Source organism: Homo sapiens, chromosome 8 (assembly GCF_000001405.40).
Source record: "Homo sapiens chromosome 8, GRCh38.p14 Primary Assembly".
Classification (NCBI taxonomy): domain Eukaryota; kingdom Metazoa; phylum Chordata; class Mammalia; order Primates; family Hominidae; genus Homo; species Homo sapiens.
The window spans coordinates 38,462,789-38,479,310 of record NC_000008.11 but is presented as its reverse complement, the minus strand read 5'-3'; the positions used below and the strand labels follow the sequence as shown (position 1 = coordinate 38,479,310).

Sequence of the window (16,522 nt, the reverse complement as noted above, 5' to 3'; positions counted from 1 at the left end):
AATCCCTTGAACCTGGGAGGTGGCGGAGGTTGCAGAGAGCCAAGAACGCACAACTGCACTCCAGCCTGGGCAACTGAATGAGACTCCATCTCAAAAAAAAAAAAAAAACACTCTCTTTGCTCATCCATAAGAAGCAACAAAGCAGCTCCCCATCCATTCACGTTCTATCATGAGCTTGTAGCAATTCAGTCACATCTTCAGGTTCCACTTCTAATTCTAGTTCTCTTGCTATTTCCACCACATCTGCAGTTACTTCCTTCACTGTAGTCTTGAACCCCTCAAAGTTATCCATGAGGGTTGGCATAAACTTCTTCCAAACACCAATTAATGTAAATATTTTGACCTTCTCTTATGAATTGCAAATGTTCTTCATGGGATCTAGAATGGTGAATCTTTTCCAGAAGGTTTTTCAGTCGACTTTGCCCAGATCCATTAGAGGAATCACTATCTAAGACAGCTACAGCCTTATAAAATGTGTTTCTTAAACAATAAGACATGAAAGTTAAAATTACTCCTTGGTCTATGGCTGTAGAAGGATGCTGTGTTAGCAGGCATGAAAACAACATTTATCTCCTTGAACATCTCCATCAGAGCTCTTGGGTAACCAGGTATGTTGTCAATGAGCAGTAATACCTTTGAAGGAATCCTTTTTTTCTGAGCAGTAGGTCTCAGCAGCGGGTTTTATTCAGTAAACCACCAGGCACGGTGGCTCACGCCTGTAATCCCAGCACTTTGGGAGGCTGAGGTGGGCGGATCACGAAGTCAGGAGATCGAGACCATCCTGGCCAACATGATGAAACCCTGTCTCCACTAAAAATACAAAAATTAGCTGGGTGTGGTGGTGCATGTCTGTAATCCCAGCTACTCAGGAGGCTGAGGCTTGAACCTGGGAGTCAGAGGTTGCAATGAGCCGAGATCGCACCACTGCACTCCAGCCTGGCGACAGAGCAAGACTCCTTGTCAAAAAAAAAAAAAAATTCAGTAAACCATACTGTAAACAGATGTGCTGTCATTCAGGCTTAGTTATGCCATTTACTGAACACAAGCAGAGTAGATTTAGCATAATTTCTAACAGCAATAGGATTTTTGAAATGGTAAATGAACACTGGCTTCGACTTAAACTCACCAGCTGCATTACCTCCTAACAAGAGAGAGTCAGCCTGTCCTTTGAAGCTCTGAAGCCAGACATTGACTTATCTGTAGCTAGAAAAGTCCTAGATTACATCTTCTTCCAATAGAAGGCTGTTTTATTTACATTAAAAAATCTATGATCTTAGCTAGATCTTCTGGATGACTTGCTGCAGCTTCTACATCAGCACTTGCTGCTTCACCTTGCACCTTTATTATATGGAGATGGCTTGTTTCCTTAAGTTGAAGCAGCCTCTGCTAACTTCCAACTTTTCTTTTGCTGCTTCCTCATCACCCTCAGCCTTCACAGAATTGAAGAGAGTTAGGGCATTGCTATGGATTAGGCTTTGGCTTAAGGGAATGTTATGGCTGGTTTGATCTTCTATCCAGATCACCCAAACTTTCCTCCATATCAGCAATAATGCTGTTTTGCTTTTTTGTCATTCATATGTTCACTGGAGTAGCACTTTTAATTTTTTTTTTTTCCTTGATACAGAGTCTCGCTCTGTCACCCAGGCTGGAGTGCAATGGCGTGGTCTCGGCTCACTGCAACCTCAGCCTCCTGGGTTCAAGTGGTTCTCCCGCCTCAGCCTCCAGAGTAGCTGGGGCTACAGGGGCGCGCCACCACACCCAGCCAGTTTTTGTATTTTTAGTAGACACGGGGTTTCACTATGTTGGCCAGGCTGGACTCGAACTACTGACCTCGTGATCCATCTGCCTCGGCCTCCCAAAGTGCTGGGATTACAGATGTGAGCCACTGCACACCCAGCCTCACTTTTAATTTTTTTTAAAGAACTTTTGGCTGGGTGTGGTGGCTTACGCCTGTTATCCCAGCTCTTTGGAGGCCAAGGCAGGCAGATCACCTGAGGTCAGGAGTTCAAGACCAGCCTGGCCAACATGGCAAAACCCCATCTCTACTAAAAATACAAAAATTAGTTGGGTGTGGTGACACATGCCTGTAATCCCAGCTACTCTCAGGAGGCTGAGGTGGGAGAATCACTTGAACCTGGGAGATGGACATTGCAGTGAGCCAAGATCACGCAGCTGCACTTCAGACTGGGGACAGACCGAGACTCCGTCTCAAAAAAAAAAAAAAAAAACCTTTTCCTCTGCATTCACAATTTGGCTAATCATTTGGCACAAGAGGCCTGCGTCTGGGCCTATCTCAGTCTTTAACATGCCTTCCTCACTAAGCTCAATCATTTCTAGCTTTGGATTTAAAGTGAGAGACATGGAATTCTTCCTTTCACTTGAACACTCAGAAGCCATTGTAGGATTATTAATTGACCTAATTTCAATATTGTGGTATCTCAAGGAATAGGCAGGCCCAAGGAAAGGGAGGGGTGGGGGACAGCCAGTCGGTAGAGCAGTTGCAACACATATTTATCGATTCGGTTCACTGTTTTATATGGGTATGATTCATGGTGCCCCAAAACAATGACAATAATGAAAAGATCACTGATCATAGATCACCATGACAGATATAATAATAATGAGAAGGTGTGAAATTTTGCAAAAATTACCAAAACGTGTCCCAAAGACATGAAGTGAGCACACTCAGCTGGAAAAATGGCGCCAATGGCCTTGCTCAATTCAGGGTTGCCACAAACATTCCATGCTTAAAAATCGCACTATCTGGGAAGTACGATAAAGCAAAGCACTGGCCGGACGCGGTGGCTCACACCTGTAATCCCAGCACTTTGGGAGGCCAAGGCGGGTGGATCACGAGGTCAGGAGTTTGAGACCAGCCTGGCCAATATGGCGAAATCCCGTCTCTACTAAAAATACAAAAAAAAAAAAAAATTAGCCAGGCATTGTGGCACGCACCTGTAGTCCCAGCTATTCAGGAGGCTGAGGCAGAAGAATTGCTTGAATCTGGGAGGTGGAGATTGCAGAGCCAAGATCGCGCCACTGCACTCCAGCCTGGGCGACAGAGCAAGACTCCATCTCAAAAAAAAAAAAAGCAAAGCACCATCAAACAAGGTCCATCTGTGTATTTCTCAGAAAATAAGCTCACATGCTCACATGCTTGGAAACCTATCAGAACCAGACAAATGGTGTTAGGAACAGAGCAGCAAATAATTGGCCTCTATCTAGCCTTAGCAAGAAACATCCTGGAAGAACTAAGGGGACTTAACACCCACGCAGATTACTTTCTAGATAGGCCTGAGAAATCCACCCCAGCTGACTCAGCAAAGAGATACCTACAGGCCCCCCTCATCTGCTAACCAAAACCCTATATTGGCTGCCGGGCACTGTCAGGGTATGCCTGGCTTCTCCTGGGCTAGGCAGGCCTCAAAAAGGTGCCCTGAAAGCTCTCTGCACTCAGTGGCATGGAGGAAACCAGGTTTCGGTGAAGACAGGCAGTCAGAGGCATCTCCAGCCCTTCCAGAACCCAAACCATTCTTTAGTCATCTGAGATATCAGGAGATCAGCTTTCATGTTGTCCCTCTTTCTCTTTGGATGACTAAGAAGGCTTTTCTTTTCTTTTCTTTTTTTTTGAGAAGGAGTCTCACTCTTGTCACCCAGGCTGGAGTGCAATGGCGCGATGTCGGCTTGCTGCAACCTCCACCTCCTGGGTTCAAGTGATTCTCCTGCCTCATCCTCCTGAGTAGCCGGGATTACAGGCACGCGCCACACCTGTTTCTACTGAAAATACAAAAAGTTAGATGGGCGTGGTGGTGTGTGCCTGTAATCTCAGCTACTCTGGAGGCTGAGGCAGGAGAATCGCTTGAACCCGGAAGGCAGAGGTTGCGGTGAGCTGAGACGGCGCCATTGCACCCCAGATTGGGCAACAAGAGCGAAACTCTGCCTCAAAAAAAAATCACTATATATTATTATTATCATTATTATTATATTTTGCTGATTAGAAAACTAGTACAAGATCAGGGCCAGGGTGCCTTGGAGCACATTGGAGGAAGGCCACTTCCTCTGGGCAGAGGCAGCCGGGCAGTAGCACACAGGATTCCAGCCCAGGGCCTATAAAAAAAACTCCTCTCAAAAAAGTCAAACAATGTAAAGGTACATAAAAAATGGGCCAGGCACAGTGGCTCATACCTGTAATCCTAGAACTTTGGGAGGCCAAGGTGGGAAAATCACTTGAGCCCAGGAGTTCAAGACTAGCCTGGGCAACATAGCTAGACTCTGTCTCTACAAAAAATTAAAAATTTAAAAATTGGCCAGCCATAGTGGCATGGACCTGTAGTCCCAGTTACTTGGGAGGCTGGGGCAGGAGGATCACTTGAGCCCAGGAGTTCAAGGCTCCAGGGAGCTGTGATCACATCACTTCACTCCAGCCTAGGCAACAGAGAGAGGTGGCTCAAAAAAATAGAGCCTGGCTCAAAAAAACAAAACTAAACCGAAGTATAAGCCTCTTACAATCACATTCCCAAAGAAAACCACTATTAAAAATTTGGTTAACTATTTTGTTTTGTTTTGACAGAATAATAAAATTCAGTTAGGGGGAAATTTAACCTGAATGGGAGAACACCATCTATTTTTAAATTATCTTCCTCTCTGACCCTACCCAGCCCAATATCGCCAAAGGTTCTTAACAACCCAGGAGAAGTCAGCTGCAACTTTATTAGCATATCCTTGGATGGAATCCGCATCAAAGTTGAATCCTCAAGTATCTCAGCCTAACCCTGAAACTTTGATCTTTGTACCTAGGCAGGGCAAAGCCTAAGGAACTAGGTCCTTCACTCTTGGGGGTGGAGGGCGGTCCTCAGAAATGCAAATTTTTCACTGTTCTGCCACTGCCTCCTCTGTCACCTCTCCAGACCCCAGCCCTTGGATGAGTGGCTTTAACCAGGAGAGGGTTTACAAGTCTGTGTCAGAAAGAGGAGAGCCTTTGGAGAACCCTGAAGAAACACACAGGACAGAAGACCAGCTTGTTTGCATTTAGTGTTCTGAAGGGAGTCAGAATCCTAGACCAGCGACCATAGCTGGAAGGATTCGCTGAGGTTTAATAGGGCCCCTTAGCTTCCCCATATGTGTTCTTGTTGTTTTTCTCTTATTTCACAGTAAAATCTATAACAAAAAGGGCTGTTTATCTTGGGGTACACCAAGGAAGAGGGAGATGAGGGTGAAAAATATATCCTTTTCTGCAGCTGGTGTTGGGGAACAGAGAATCCAGGGTGGAAGTGGGGGTAGAGATGGTAAATACATAAGAAAGTCACAAAGAAGGCTGGGTGCAGTGGCTCACACCTGTAATCCCTGCACTTTCGGAGGCTGAGGCAAGTGAATGGCTTGAGCCCAGGAGTTCAAGACCATCCTGAGCAACATAAGGAGACTATCACCTCCACAAAAAAATACAAAAACCAACTGGGCATGGTGGTGTATGCCTGTAGTCCCAGCTACTTGGGAAGCTGAAGTGGGAGGATTGCTTAAGCCCAGGAGGTCGAGGCTGCAGTAAGTCAAGATCGTGCCACTGCACTCCAGCCTGGGGGAGTGAGGAACCCTATCTAAAAAAAAAAAAAAAAAAAAAAAAGCCACAAAGATATGCAGGCTCCAGAAGGTGTCTTCCATCAAAGGAAAGTTCCTGGGCTAAAAAATAATAATAACAACAATGACTACCATTTATTGAGCATTTACAATGTTCTGGGCGCTTTGCCAAGTGCATTACACACATTTTCTCATTTAATCCTTTCAACAGTCCTGGGAAGAACAGTTACCATTGTTATCTTCATTTCACCATTGAGCAAATGCAGTGGAGCTAACTAGCTTGCCCAAGATCACACAGCTAGCAATAAGTGGCAGAATCAGGACCCATGCTCAAAACTGTTTGACCCCAGAGACTAAGTTCATCCCTTCAGAGCAAAATAATTCGATGCTTCAGTGACTACCAACTGTCTACCCCCCACCCCCACCCCTCAACACAAACTCTCCAGGCTTGCTTTCCTCAGCTATCCCAGATGAGTTTGTGGATTTTCACATTGCCATCTTTCAAGATTCAGGCATCGCTTCCCCTGAGTCATCTTCCTTCCTGATCTCTCCTTCCACAGCCCCCTGCAGATGCCCCCGGGTGGCACTACGTGTCATGTTTGGTCTCCCCCACAAGACAAGTGAGGTCCCCCAGGCTGTGCACTCATCTCTTTCATCTTCGGATCCACTGTGCCCGGCACAGCGCCTGACACACAAGAAGTGCTCCCTGACACCCCCAGGCTCCGTGAATAGATGTGGCATTCAGGCCAGACAGAGCTGAGCTGCCACACAGCTCGCTCCCTTTCTCACTCCAAATTGGCAGAAGAGAGTGAATGTTATTTACAAAAACACCAAGCCAAATAAGACCCTCCCTTCCCTGACATGCTGAAGCTGCTCTGGGAACAGACAGGGGTCACCAAATGGTGGCCAGATGGTGACTGACTGCTGCTCCCTAACTCCAGGGGCCTGGGGCAAAAGGCTTGGCTGCCCACCTGCTCCCAGGACCTGTGAACCATCCACTTTGTAGGGAAAACCCCAGACAGTTCCCTCCTCCCGAATCCCCTTCTGCAACCAGCTCTCGGAGTGGAGACTCTGCCAGCTCTCACCACATCCTGGGGACTCTTGAAGCCTGGGCTGGAAGTTCTGCAACCTTGCCCCATGTCAATGGTGCTTACTTTACCTGACTTGTTCCATAACAAAGAATTGTTAATTCTGCAGTATCGACCCAGGGTAGTGGGGTGATCATTCCTGGTAGGCACAGCTGAGCCCTAAAATAACAGAACCCAGATAGAGCAGGGGCAGAAGGAATGTGGGGAGAGGGGAAGAGGAGCTCCCGTCTGCCAGGGAAAACTCTGAGGACACAAGTAGCTGGAGGAACAGGGAAGGGATTTCCTACAGTGTTCCCAAACAAAGAGAGCTGGCCGGGCTTTGGGGAGAGCTCCGTTTCCCTTCGTTTCATTCAGCAGTGGTCTCCTCCTCCCACAGATGTGGGAGGCAACAGGCCCCCAACCAGTTATCAGGCCCTCCAGCATGAGGGCCTTTGTCTCCCCTTAGACATGTAGCTGGCAGGGCGAAGGGCCGACAAATCCTCCCTGACCCTCCCAGCTCTTTGTTATCTCAGAGGGAAGGTTACATTTCTGTATGGGAGGCAAGGTGCCAGGAGGCCTCGGGCAGAACAGAGACAGGCAGAGCTGCTGTCTGACCCCTGTTGCCTGGAGCAGCTCAGGGCTGCCCTAGGGACACTCTCCCTCCACTGGCCTGGGGCCCTTCCAGAAATGGGAGGGCTACATTTCAGAAAGAGGGCGAGTAGAGGAGTGGGACAGAAAAGGAGCGAGGTGGGCTGGAAGGATAAAAGCAGCCAACTCTCAATTATTCAGAAACCTGTCTGCAGTGTGTGGACAGCCCATGCCTTTGCTGAGTTTCTCACCTTCTCTGTTCAGCTGCCATCAGCTCTTTCCCTGAGAAGTGGAGGAGGGACCCTGGCAAGTTGGCCACTTGCTTTCATTTTGGCTTCTTGATAAATCTATAGAGGATTTTTCAGCAGCAGGCCCATGTCCCTCAACCCCAAACAAGCATTTAGATCATTATCTTTCTGTTTAAATCAAGAACGCATTATTTAGCCTTTTATTTGGGGTTCAAGATACTCCTACAATGGTTCTAAATCATAAGAAAAAGGGGCTTGATTTAAAACCCCTTGTTTTGGGCCAGGAATGGTGGCTCACGCCTGTAATCCCAGCACTTTGGGAGGCCAAGGTGGGCAGATTACCTGAGGTCAGGAGTTCGAGACCAGCCTGGCCAACATGGTGAAACCCTGTCTCTACTAAAAATACAAAAATTAGCTGGGCATGGTGGCAGGTGTCTGTAATCCCAGCTACTCGGGAGGCTGAGGCAGGAGAATCGCTTGAGCCCAGAAGGCAGAGGTGAGCTGAGTGAGCTGAGATCGTGCCATTGCACTCCAGCCTGGGCAAAAAGAGCAAGACTCCATCTCAGGAAAAAAAAAAAAAAAGAAAACAAAAAAAACCCTTTTTTGAGAAGAATTACGGAGCAAAGTAGAAAAATAGTAGCTGGGTGTTAACATTAAATGCTGGATTTTTTTCATGGCTTGTCTTCCCAATCATATTCCCTCAAATTGTGTTTCCTCCTCTGGTAACCCAGGTTGGTTATGCTTAGCAAGTCCATGAACAATAAATATACATGGAAAACCTCCTGTGTAGAATTGGTCAGACACCTAGATAAGATCCTTGCCCTAAAGCAGTTTAGAAACCAGTTAGAAAGAAAGCAGAGTAAGGAAAACCACTAACAAAGCACGGTATCAACTCAGTGGATAGTCAGCAAGTGAGCAGGGGGTCCAGGGACTGACAAAGCTGGGATGGGCAGGGAAGGCCTCTTGGGGGTAGGGTGTGAGTATGGCCTTCTTACAAGCGTGTGATGTGTAGTAATTAAAATGCAGGAGGCCTAATGGGTGGGCAGCTTACATAGGAGTATAAACCAAGCTTGACCAGGAGCTGAAAGGTTAAATGGTGGCTCTTAGGGGAAAACCCTATAAACAGTGGCTGAAGTTCATTTATTCAACAAAGATATGAGTTCTTGTTTCTCATTTTTTGTTTTGTATTATTTTGTTTTGAGACAGGGTCTTACTCTGTCGCCCAGGCTGGAGTGTAGTGGCTGGATCATAGCTCACTGCAGCCTCAAACTCCTGGGCTCAAGCCATCCTCCTTCTTCAGCCTCCACCTCCAGCTAATTTTTAAAAATATTTTGTAGAGACAAGGGCTCACTTTGTTTCCCAGGCTGGTCTTGAACTTCTGGCTTCAAGTGATCCTCCCGCTTCGGCCACCCAAAGTGCTGGGATTACAGGCGTGAGCTGTAATTTAGTTGTTTATTTACTCATTTGTTCAACAAATACTTATTGAATATTTGCTCTTTGGCCAGTCAAGGGATTTCATGAGTGTCTACTATGTGAATAACACTGTGTTGGCCACTAGTCTGTCACCTACTGGTGGATTAGAAAAATAGCGCGAGGACCATTTTTTCTTTTCTTTTCTTTTTTTTTTTGAGACGGAGTCTTGCTCTGTTGCCAGGCTGGAGTGCAGTGGCACAATCTCGGCTCACTGCAACCTCCGCCTCCCGGGTTCAAGCGATTCCTCTGCCGCAGCCTCCCCAGTAGCTGGGATTACAGGCAAGCGCCACCATGCCTGGCTAATTTTTTTGTATTTTAGTAGAGACGGGGTTTCACCTTGTTGGCAAGGATAGTCTCGATCTCCCGACCTCGTGATCCACCCGCCTCGGCCTCCCAAAGTGCTGGGATTACAGGCATAAGCCACCGCACCCGGCCAACTCTTTTCTTAAATTAGCCAGGGAGGCGTGGGTGGGTTGGGTGAGGAGTTGGGTGGGGGGATCTCATTCAGTATTCAAACTTCTACAAGTTTCGGGGTTGAGGTGGGTGATGGTAAGGGAACAGGCCCTGCCACTACCTTTCATAGTGACTTCCATTTGTGTAATATTTTTGGTCCACTGAGAGCTATTATTTTATTTGATTCTTATGACCATCTTGTGAAGGAGTATCAACAGATACCCCGTTTTGATTTTATCAGATGCATGATTTGTCCTACATCAAACTTCATAAATGATGGACAGAATGGAGGAATCCTTCAGACCAAGTGCTGCCTACTTCCCACCCCAATGGTGGCCTCAGCCTGGGCTCACATCACACGCCCCAAGGAGCCTTGGAAAAAATAAAGGCTCTTGGCTCCTTCCTGGGACAGCGTGATTCCTCATGTCTGAGCAGGCCCATGAACTTGTATTTTTCAGACGTTCCCTAGGACCCGTGTCCATCTGGATTAGGGAACCACTACATTATACCACTTCGCGGGAAGACTCAGGGGGAAGCATTTTAGCCACTTTCCTGTGTTCCACAGTACTGGAGGGTGTTCTGAGTGGGCTGTGATTAATTTCCAAACCAACCACACGTCTCCCCTCAACTCCCACTGCTTACTCTTTGCTTCCTAGACATTCACTGCAGGCTGGAGACTTCTGGAAGCCAACAGCATCGCTGTAGAATTTACAGGGTCCAGTTCCCGGTGGACCACAAAACCTAAATTATGTGGCTGGGGAAAGCTGAAATCCAAGGGAAGGGTTTGAGGAGGGGCTGACCTTATAATAAAACCGGCTTGTATTTACTAAGTGTTAACTATGCGCTAGGCCCTCGTTGACGCCTCAACTCTATGTGAAAAGCACTATTATCCCCCATTTACAGATGGGAAAACAGAGATTTAGAGCGCGAAAATCATTTCCCCAAGGCGCACAGACTCCAAAGCCCACGCTACCAGGTACAACCTCAAGGCTGCGGCGTCTCTTCACCTGCCCCCTAGCCCCCAAACCGCTGCTATGTCTAGGGCCTGACATTCCGGCGCCCTCTGGGACGTGCTCAGATGCAGGGGCGCAAACGCCAAAGGAGACCAGGCTGTAGGAAGAGAAGGGCAGAGCGCCGGACAGCTCGGCCCGCTCCCCGTCCTTTGGGGCCGCGGCTGGGGAACTACAAGGCCCAGCAGGCAGCTGCAGGGGGCGGAGGCGGAGGAGGGACCAGCGCGGGTGGGAGTGAGAGAGCGAGCCCTCGCGCCCCGCCGGCGCATAGCGCTCGGAGCGCTCTTGCGGCCACAGGCGCGGCGTCCTCGGCGGCGGGCGGCAGCTAGCGGGAGCCGGGACGCCGGTGCAGCCGCAGCGCGCGGAGGAACCCGGGTGTGCCGGGAGCTGGGCGGCCACGTCCGGACGGGACCGAGACCCCTCGTAGCGCATTGCGGCGACCTCGCCTTCCCCGGCCGCGAGCGCGCCGCTGCTTGAAAAGCCGCGGAACCCAAGGACTTTTCTCCGGTCCGAGCTCGGGGCGCCCCGCAGGGCGCACGGTACCCGTGCTGCAGTCGGGCACGCCGCGGCGCCGGGGCCTCCGCAGGGCGATGGAGCCCGGTCTGCAAGGAAAGTGAGGCGCCGCCGCTGCGTTCTGGAGGAGGGGGGCACAAGGTCTGGAGACCCCGGGTGGCGGACGGGAGCCCTCCCCCCGCCCCGCCTCCGGGGCACCAGCTCCGGCTCCATTGTTCCCGCCCGGGCTGGAGGCGCCGAGCACCGAGCGCCGCCGGGAGTCGAGCGCCGGCCGCGGAGCTCTTGCGACCCCGCCAGGACCCGAACAGAGCCCGGGGGCGGCGGGCCGGAGCCGGGGACGCGGGCACACGCCCGCTCGCACAAGCCACGGCGGACTCTCCCGAGGCGGAACCTCCACGCCGAGCGAGGTAAGAGCCGCGGCGCCCCCGGATCTGGGGCGGGCTTGGCGTCCCGAGCGGCCCCCGGCGCCGGAGCCTCCCGGCTGCGCGCTTTGCCCGCCGCAGCCCAGCCGGGGCCGGCGCCTCCCTCCGCTCGCCGCCCGCCCCTTTCACCTCCTGGCTCCCTCCCGGGCGATCCGCGCCCCTTGGGTCTCCCCTCCCTTCCCTCCGTCCGCGTCTCCTGCGCCCCCTCCCTGCGCTCGTCCCGCCGCTCTTCCCGCCGCCCAACTTTTCCTCCAACTCGCGCTCGGGAGCTGGCGAGGCGGCGGCGGCTCCTCAGTGAGTCCCGGGAGGGACAGGCCCGGGGCGAAGGCGGCGAGGCCCGCGGTTTCCTGGACTGGGGAGGAGGGCGGGAGTGGGCGGCGAGGTGGGATGCGTTGTGTGTGTTATGTGTGTGTGTTGCATTCCACTCCATGTCTTTTTGGTCCCCTTTTGGGGATTCACCCCCAATTCAGCAGGTAGCTTTGGGCTCAACGCTAAAAATCCGGGGCATTCCTAAGTCCTTTTCCACCCCCGGGAAAGCCTGGGGTGCGGGTTGGGGTCGGATGGGGTGGGAGATGAACTGCGGAGGACGTGGAGGGCTAGGTTAGCTTCTCTTGGAATAGGTTTTAAGGAGGTGTCGTCACCAAATGGCTGAATCTGCTTGAGCTGAGAGCGAAAAACGACTCCCCTTTCCAGAAGGGGTGATCTTATGACTTGGACGGTCTCTGAAAGGGTCGGAAGTTTGGGGAACGGGAGGACAACCCACGGTCGTTAAGCCGAGGTGTGGGATGGGGGCGGAAGGACCGTTCGGTCCCAATCTGGTTCCTAGAGGTGGGGGAAGGGATGAGGGTTTTTGTCCGGTGTGGTTCACTCGGCAGCGATGCGTATGCTTCTCTGGCCCAGACCCCTCTGCACCTCGCTTCCCCTACCGTTATGTTTGGGGTTGGGAGAAAAGTGAGGCTACGACCCATGTTTGCGGAGGAATTTTATGGACCTTGTAGATGGGGGTTCATATAGAACACACACCCCCTATGAGGCAGCCAGACACTTTTTTGGTGGTGGTGGGGGGGGGGTGGGGTGTGAAGCCTGTTTCTTGTTCTGAGCCCAGAAGCTATCAACCCTTTTGAAAAACATTACCACGGTGCCTTTCTCCCCCAGCACTCCCCCACCCCCAATTTCCAGATGTAGCAGCCGCATCTGGTTCCGTTTCACCCCACACGGGTACACCGCAGCCGCATTATTAACTTCCCTCTTCCTCCCCTCCCCCTCCCCCAAATTAAAACTCAGATTCTTCAGCCTGTCTTGACCACCTCCCTCCTTAACATTTCTGGAGACTTGGAGATGCGGCGTTGAGATTCGGGGGAGAAAAGAAAGTTCCCTTGGATCCCGAGTTATTTAAGATCTCACCAAGTTATTCGCCGCCGCTGGTGGGTGGCGGCGGTCCGGGTGCTTTCTGGATTGCGCAGTAAAGAGGCATCTTGGGAGATGGGGCCAAGGTTTTAGGGGGTGCCACTCGCGAACGGTTCATCCGCTAGACTAGGGGGGCTCTTTGGCTGTGCGTCTGGCCAGAACTGGCCTTGACGATGGAAGTTTCTGGAACCAAAGCGTTGCTTTCTCTCCCTTGTGTTATAGCTGGAGCTGCGGGAGCGCCTGCCCTGCCCGGAGCCCGCGGTCCCCTCTCGGCTGCCCCGCGGTGGCGTCACGCGCCCCTCCCGGAGCAAGCCCGGTGCGCAGGGCCGGGGGCGTGGGCGGCTGCTGCCAGAGGCGCTCTCTGTGTGTTTTTAAGGACTGATTTGGGCCGCATCCCCCGGAAACTAAAGTGGGGTGTTTTACCGTTTAAATAACGGCTACAGGTTTGAAAGCGGGGTTGGATTTTCGAGTTGTGTTTGGTAATAGTCTTTGAGGCAGGAAAGCGCCTTGTGGTCCAAAGTTGCCGGGAGGGTGGGGAGAGTCGGTGTCTTACCCGCTTCTTTCCAGCCTCTTTCAAATTGAAAACACTTCTCTGGTTTCCTTCTTTGGGCGGTAGTTTTGGAGGCTGTAATGAAATCGCACTTTCTCTAGACGTGGTAATTAAGGTGACTGTTTCCTCCGCAGATGTGCCCTACCCTTTGCACCTCCGGACCAGCGCTTTTTTTGGAATACTATCTAGCCTTGAGACTGTTTAGCAGAAAGTGGCCATTTTCCTCCCTTGGCCCGGGCTCCCGGTTTCCTCCCTGAGGCTTGTTTAAAAGCGAAGTAGCAGGGCCCCGTGGGACGCGCCTTGGTCTGGGTAATCACCCCCACGCCCGGGTCATCCACCTTCCTCTCGGTGACCGAGGTTCAGCAGCCTCTGCTATTGCCGGCCGTCTTTGCCGATGGCCTGCCTCCCTAATGACTTGTTTACATATCCTACCCCCAGTGGGTTAGGAGAAGCTCCGGGGCTGCCCCGACCCTCCGAGTGCAGGGTGTTTGGGGACCGGGAGGCTGCTGGGGCCTGACTCCAGCTGGGAGGGTTATGAACTGCATCAGTGACGAGCTGCTTGAAATATCTGTTGCATTTACTCTTAGTCATAGCTGAGTGTCAGCTTTTTAATGAGGTTCATCCAGATTGAGAGCCACTTGGACTGCGTACTTCACTGCCTGCTTTTCCAAACATGCCTGCAGAAATGCTCATTTTCGAGGTATTTTTCCCAATGGGAATTCAGGCCAGAGTGGGCACCACTTGAACAATCTTAGGGTGCTTCTTTTCCTTGGCCTCTGGCCATGGAGGGTGTTAGACAGTTCCATTAGGTGGCCCTTTGATAGCAAGGGAAGCAAAGGCTCAGGAAGAAATGGAGAAGCGTCCCCCACTCCCTAGGGGCAGAGGATTAGATACATCGGTGCATCCCTCAGGCTGGGCTAGCTTTATTCCTGGTGGACTCCAGAGGGCAAGAAAATTGAATTGAACACTGGGTAGGCAGATTCAAGCCTTAGAGACCAAGGAAAATCCATGGGTTTTGCTTTTAGTGGTGTGCTCTTTGTTTTCAGTATTGACCTGAAACAAGACTCCTAAAATGAGAGATTTGCTGGTATGAACTTGGGGGTTTAGCAGCCGGCTTCTACAAAGGCTTTTTTCTTGCCTTCGTTTCTAAAGTGTCTTTCGTCAAAATGGCTGTTAGTTATAGAACATCCTAGCAAAGTTTGAGCCTGTTGCTGCTGGAGGAAAAGGAGTTAGAATTGATTCAAATGTCTTATTCTGAAAGGGCCTCACATCACTTGATAGTTTAATTTCCTCCTGGGAAATTTGTGTCTTACATTTGTCTTCCCCAGAGCTTTGTAAAAGGCCTGAACGCACCAGGGACTAGTGGGAGCCCAGATGCAGAGCTTTAGAGAAGATTCTGGTGTTTCCAGAGAGGATGAAATGTCAGACTTGGGCTAGGATATTTGTTTTTCCTCCTAAGGTTGCATCTACTTTAAACAGAAATTCTCTCCTCGCCACCATTTATCTCTCCCCTGCAATGAAAGAAACCATGTTTAGGGCCCTCTCCCCCATTTAATAGCCCTCACATGGATGAACTATCCCAAGAATTTGGTGGGGTTCCACTCATAGTACATCCTGTCTTCAAGAGCAAGGTTTTCTAGATTATGTGCAGCAGTTCGTGTTTCACTTGTTGCTTTTTTTTTTTTTTTTTTTTTTTGAGATAGTCTCGCTCTGTCGCCCAGGCTGGAGTGCTGTGGCGCTATCTCAGGTCACTGCAACCTCCGCCTTCCGGTTGAAGCGATTCTCCTGCCCCAGCCTCCCTAGTAGCTGGGATTGCAAGCATGCGCCACCATGTCCGGCTAATTTTTTGTGTTTTTAATAGAGATGGTGTTTCACCATGTTGGCCAGGCTGGGCTTGAACTCCTGACCTCAAGCAATCCGCTGGCCTCGGCCTCCCAAAATGCTGGGATTACAGGTGTGAGCCATTGTGCCTGACCACTTATTGCTAATTTTTTATATGTCTCTTACTTCCAAGGACATTTAGACACTTTTTTTTTTTAAAGAGACTCAAAAAATTAGCATTTCCATTGGACCAACTAAAATTTAGCAAGCTGAGCTGAGTAACTTTCTCCATATGTTTATTAAGTACTTGCCCCCTGCCCTCTCAACATGTGAGTAGAGAATGGTCACTTTGGGGAAGAAATAAGTCTTATTCTCATCTGAAGGGATTAATGTTTTGGTGTTACTTCCTCAATTCTGAAGAACCAAGTTGTCCAGAAATTTTCTCAGGGTTCTTTGGACTAGAGTTTGGCTGGTTAACAAGGGGTACTACCTAATTGCTTTTCTCTGATATTCTCAGCCTCTTTTTCTGGAGGAGTATCTCTGTCAGTTTCTTTTCATCAGCCCTTTTTTTTCCTTCATTCACTTACTCATTCATCCAGTTAACAAACATGTTGGCATCTCCTGTGTACATGCTAGGTGCCGAGGGTGTTAGCAAAGGTTAGGGAGGCACAGACCCTGTTCTGAAGGAGCCTGCAGTTTCGTGGGGAGAGAAGAGAATGAAGAACATAAATAACAATCATATAATATGACCTAAGTGCTATGTGAGAGGGGCTAGTAATGTGGTTTGCAAATTTGGAGGAATGAAATTCTCCAGCTAGAAGGCCCAAGAAAGTCTTATGGAAGAAACAGCTTCTTAAGGTGGGGTTCAGAGAAAAGGGAAGGGCTGGCCTGTTGCAGAACAAGGAATGGCATGAAGAAAGTCTTGCACAGAGGCATGGATGTTGCTTCGAGCTGTGGCGCCCTATAGAAATAGAACATGAGCAGCTGGTCACAGTGGCTCATGCCTGTAATCCCAGCACTTTGGGAGGCCAAGGCAGGCGGATTGCTTGAGCCCATGAGATGGAGATGAGCCTGGACAACATGGTGAGACCCTGTGTCTACCAAAAAATACACAAATTAGATGAGTATGCTCGTGCTTACTGGTAGTCCCGGCTATTCAGGAGGCTGAGGTGGGAGGATCACTTGAGCCTAGGAGGCAGAGGCTGCAATAAGCTGTGATTGCACCACTGCATTCCAGCCTGGGGGACAGAGGAAGACCCTGTTTAAAAAAAAAAAAAAAAAAAAAGCCAGGCACAGTGGCTCATGCCTGTAATCCCAGCCCTTTGGGAGGCCAAGGCAGGTGGATCACCTGAGGTCAGGAGTTCAAGACCAGCCTGGCCAACATGGTGAAACCCTATTT

General features: G+C 50.3%; 1 protein-coding gene across 14 annotated transcripts in view, besides 12 other annotated features; it reads left to right on the top strand.

The window, feature by feature from the left end:
- Window positions 1,034-1,535: an enhancer, noted in NCBI's record as "OCT4 hESC enhancer chr8:38335294-38335795 (GRCh37/hg19 assembly coordinates)". NCBI's record gives its function as "activates a minimal SCP1, AML or CMV promoter by ChIP-STARR-seq in primed H9 embryonic stem cells {active_cell/tissue: H9 hESC(primed)}" and the evidence as "EXISTENCE:reporter gene assay evidence [ECO:0000049][PMID:30033119]".
- Window positions 4,132-5,114: an enhancer, noted in NCBI's record as "OCT4-NANOG-H3K27ac-H3K4me1 hESC enhancer chr8:38331715-38332697 (GRCh37/hg19 assembly coordinates)". NCBI's record gives its function as "activates a minimal SCP1, AML or CMV promoter by ChIP-STARR-seq in primed H9 embryonic stem cells {active_cell/tissue: H9 hESC(primed)}" and the evidence as "EXISTENCE:reporter gene assay evidence [ECO:0000049][PMID:30033119]".
- Window positions 5,745-6,538: an enhancer, noted in NCBI's record as "OCT4-H3K4me1 hESC enhancer chr8:38330291-38331084 (GRCh37/hg19 assembly coordinates)". NCBI's record gives its function as "activates a minimal SCP1, AML or CMV promoter by ChIP-STARR-seq in primed H9 embryonic stem cells {active_cell/tissue: H9 hESC(primed)}" and the evidence as "EXISTENCE:reporter gene assay evidence [ECO:0000049][PMID:30033119]".
- Window positions 6,539-7,332: an enhancer, noted in NCBI's record as "OCT4-H3K4me1 hESC enhancer chr8:38329497-38330290 (GRCh37/hg19 assembly coordinates)". NCBI's record gives its function as "activates a minimal SCP1, AML or CMV promoter by ChIP-STARR-seq in primed H9 embryonic stem cells {active_cell/tissue: H9 hESC(primed)}" and the evidence as "EXISTENCE:reporter gene assay evidence [ECO:0000049][PMID:30033119]".
- Window positions 9,950-10,936: an enhancer, noted in NCBI's record as "H3K27ac-H3K4me1 hESC enhancer chr8:38325893-38326879 (GRCh37/hg19 assembly coordinates)". NCBI's record gives its function as "activates a minimal SCP1, AML or CMV promoter by ChIP-STARR-seq in primed H9 embryonic stem cells {active_cell/tissue: H9 hESC(primed)}" and the evidence as "EXISTENCE:reporter gene assay evidence [ECO:0000049][PMID:30033119]".
- Window positions 10,344-10,513: an enhancer, noted in NCBI's record as "active region_27251". NCBI's record gives its function as "activates an Ori minimal core promoter by ATAC-STARR-seq in GM12878 lymphoblastoid cells {active_cell/tissue: GM12878}" and the evidence as "EXISTENCE:reporter gene assay evidence [ECO:0000049][PMID:35858748]".
- FGFR1 (fibroblast growth factor receptor 1) overlaps window positions 10,676-16,522 on the top strand; it is a 57,493-nt gene continuing 51,646 nt past the window's right edge. For 9 of the 14 annotated variants that reach the window (NM_001354368.2, NM_001354370.2, NM_023106.3 and 6 more), the window contains exon 1: window positions 10,676-11,330. The gene's annotated coding sequence lies outside the window, so the exon portion shown is untranslated. Of the gene's footprint in view, window positions 11,331-11,586; window positions 11,640-16,522 lie in introns of those variants that run through there. The other 5 variants (NM_001174066.2, NM_001354369.2, NM_001410922.1 and 2 more) reach the window with 1 other exon arrangement.
- Window positions 10,794-10,863: a silencer, noted in NCBI's record as "silent region_19130". NCBI's record gives its function as "represses an Ori minimal core promoter by ATAC-STARR-seq in GM12878 lymphoblastoid cells {active_cell/tissue: GM12878}" and the evidence as "EXISTENCE:reporter gene assay evidence [ECO:0000049][PMID:35858748]".
- Window positions 11,134-11,263: a silencer, noted in NCBI's record as "silent region_19129". NCBI's record gives its function as "represses an Ori minimal core promoter by ATAC-STARR-seq in GM12878 lymphoblastoid cells {active_cell/tissue: GM12878}" and the evidence as "EXISTENCE:reporter gene assay evidence [ECO:0000049][PMID:35858748]".
- Window positions 11,274-11,393: a silencer, noted in NCBI's record as "silent region_19128". NCBI's record gives its function as "represses an Ori minimal core promoter by ATAC-STARR-seq in GM12878 lymphoblastoid cells {active_cell/tissue: GM12878}" and the evidence as "EXISTENCE:reporter gene assay evidence [ECO:0000049][PMID:35858748]".
- Window positions 12,573-12,692: an enhancer, noted in NCBI's record as "active region_27250". NCBI's record gives its function as "activates an Ori minimal core promoter by ATAC-STARR-seq in GM12878 lymphoblastoid cells {active_cell/tissue: GM12878}" and the evidence as "EXISTENCE:reporter gene assay evidence [ECO:0000049][PMID:35858748]".
- Window positions 12,923-13,062: a silencer, noted in NCBI's record as "silent region_19127". NCBI's record gives its function as "represses an Ori minimal core promoter by ATAC-STARR-seq in GM12878 lymphoblastoid cells {active_cell/tissue: GM12878}" and the evidence as "EXISTENCE:reporter gene assay evidence [ECO:0000049][PMID:35858748]".
- Window positions 13,530-14,031: an enhancer, noted in NCBI's record as "OCT4 hESC enhancer chr8:38322798-38323299 (GRCh37/hg19 assembly coordinates)". NCBI's record gives its function as "activates a minimal SCP1, AML or CMV promoter by ChIP-STARR-seq in naive and primed H9 embryonic stem cells {active_cell/tissue: H9 hESC(naive and primed)}" and the evidence as "EXISTENCE:reporter gene assay evidence [ECO:0000049][PMID:30033119]".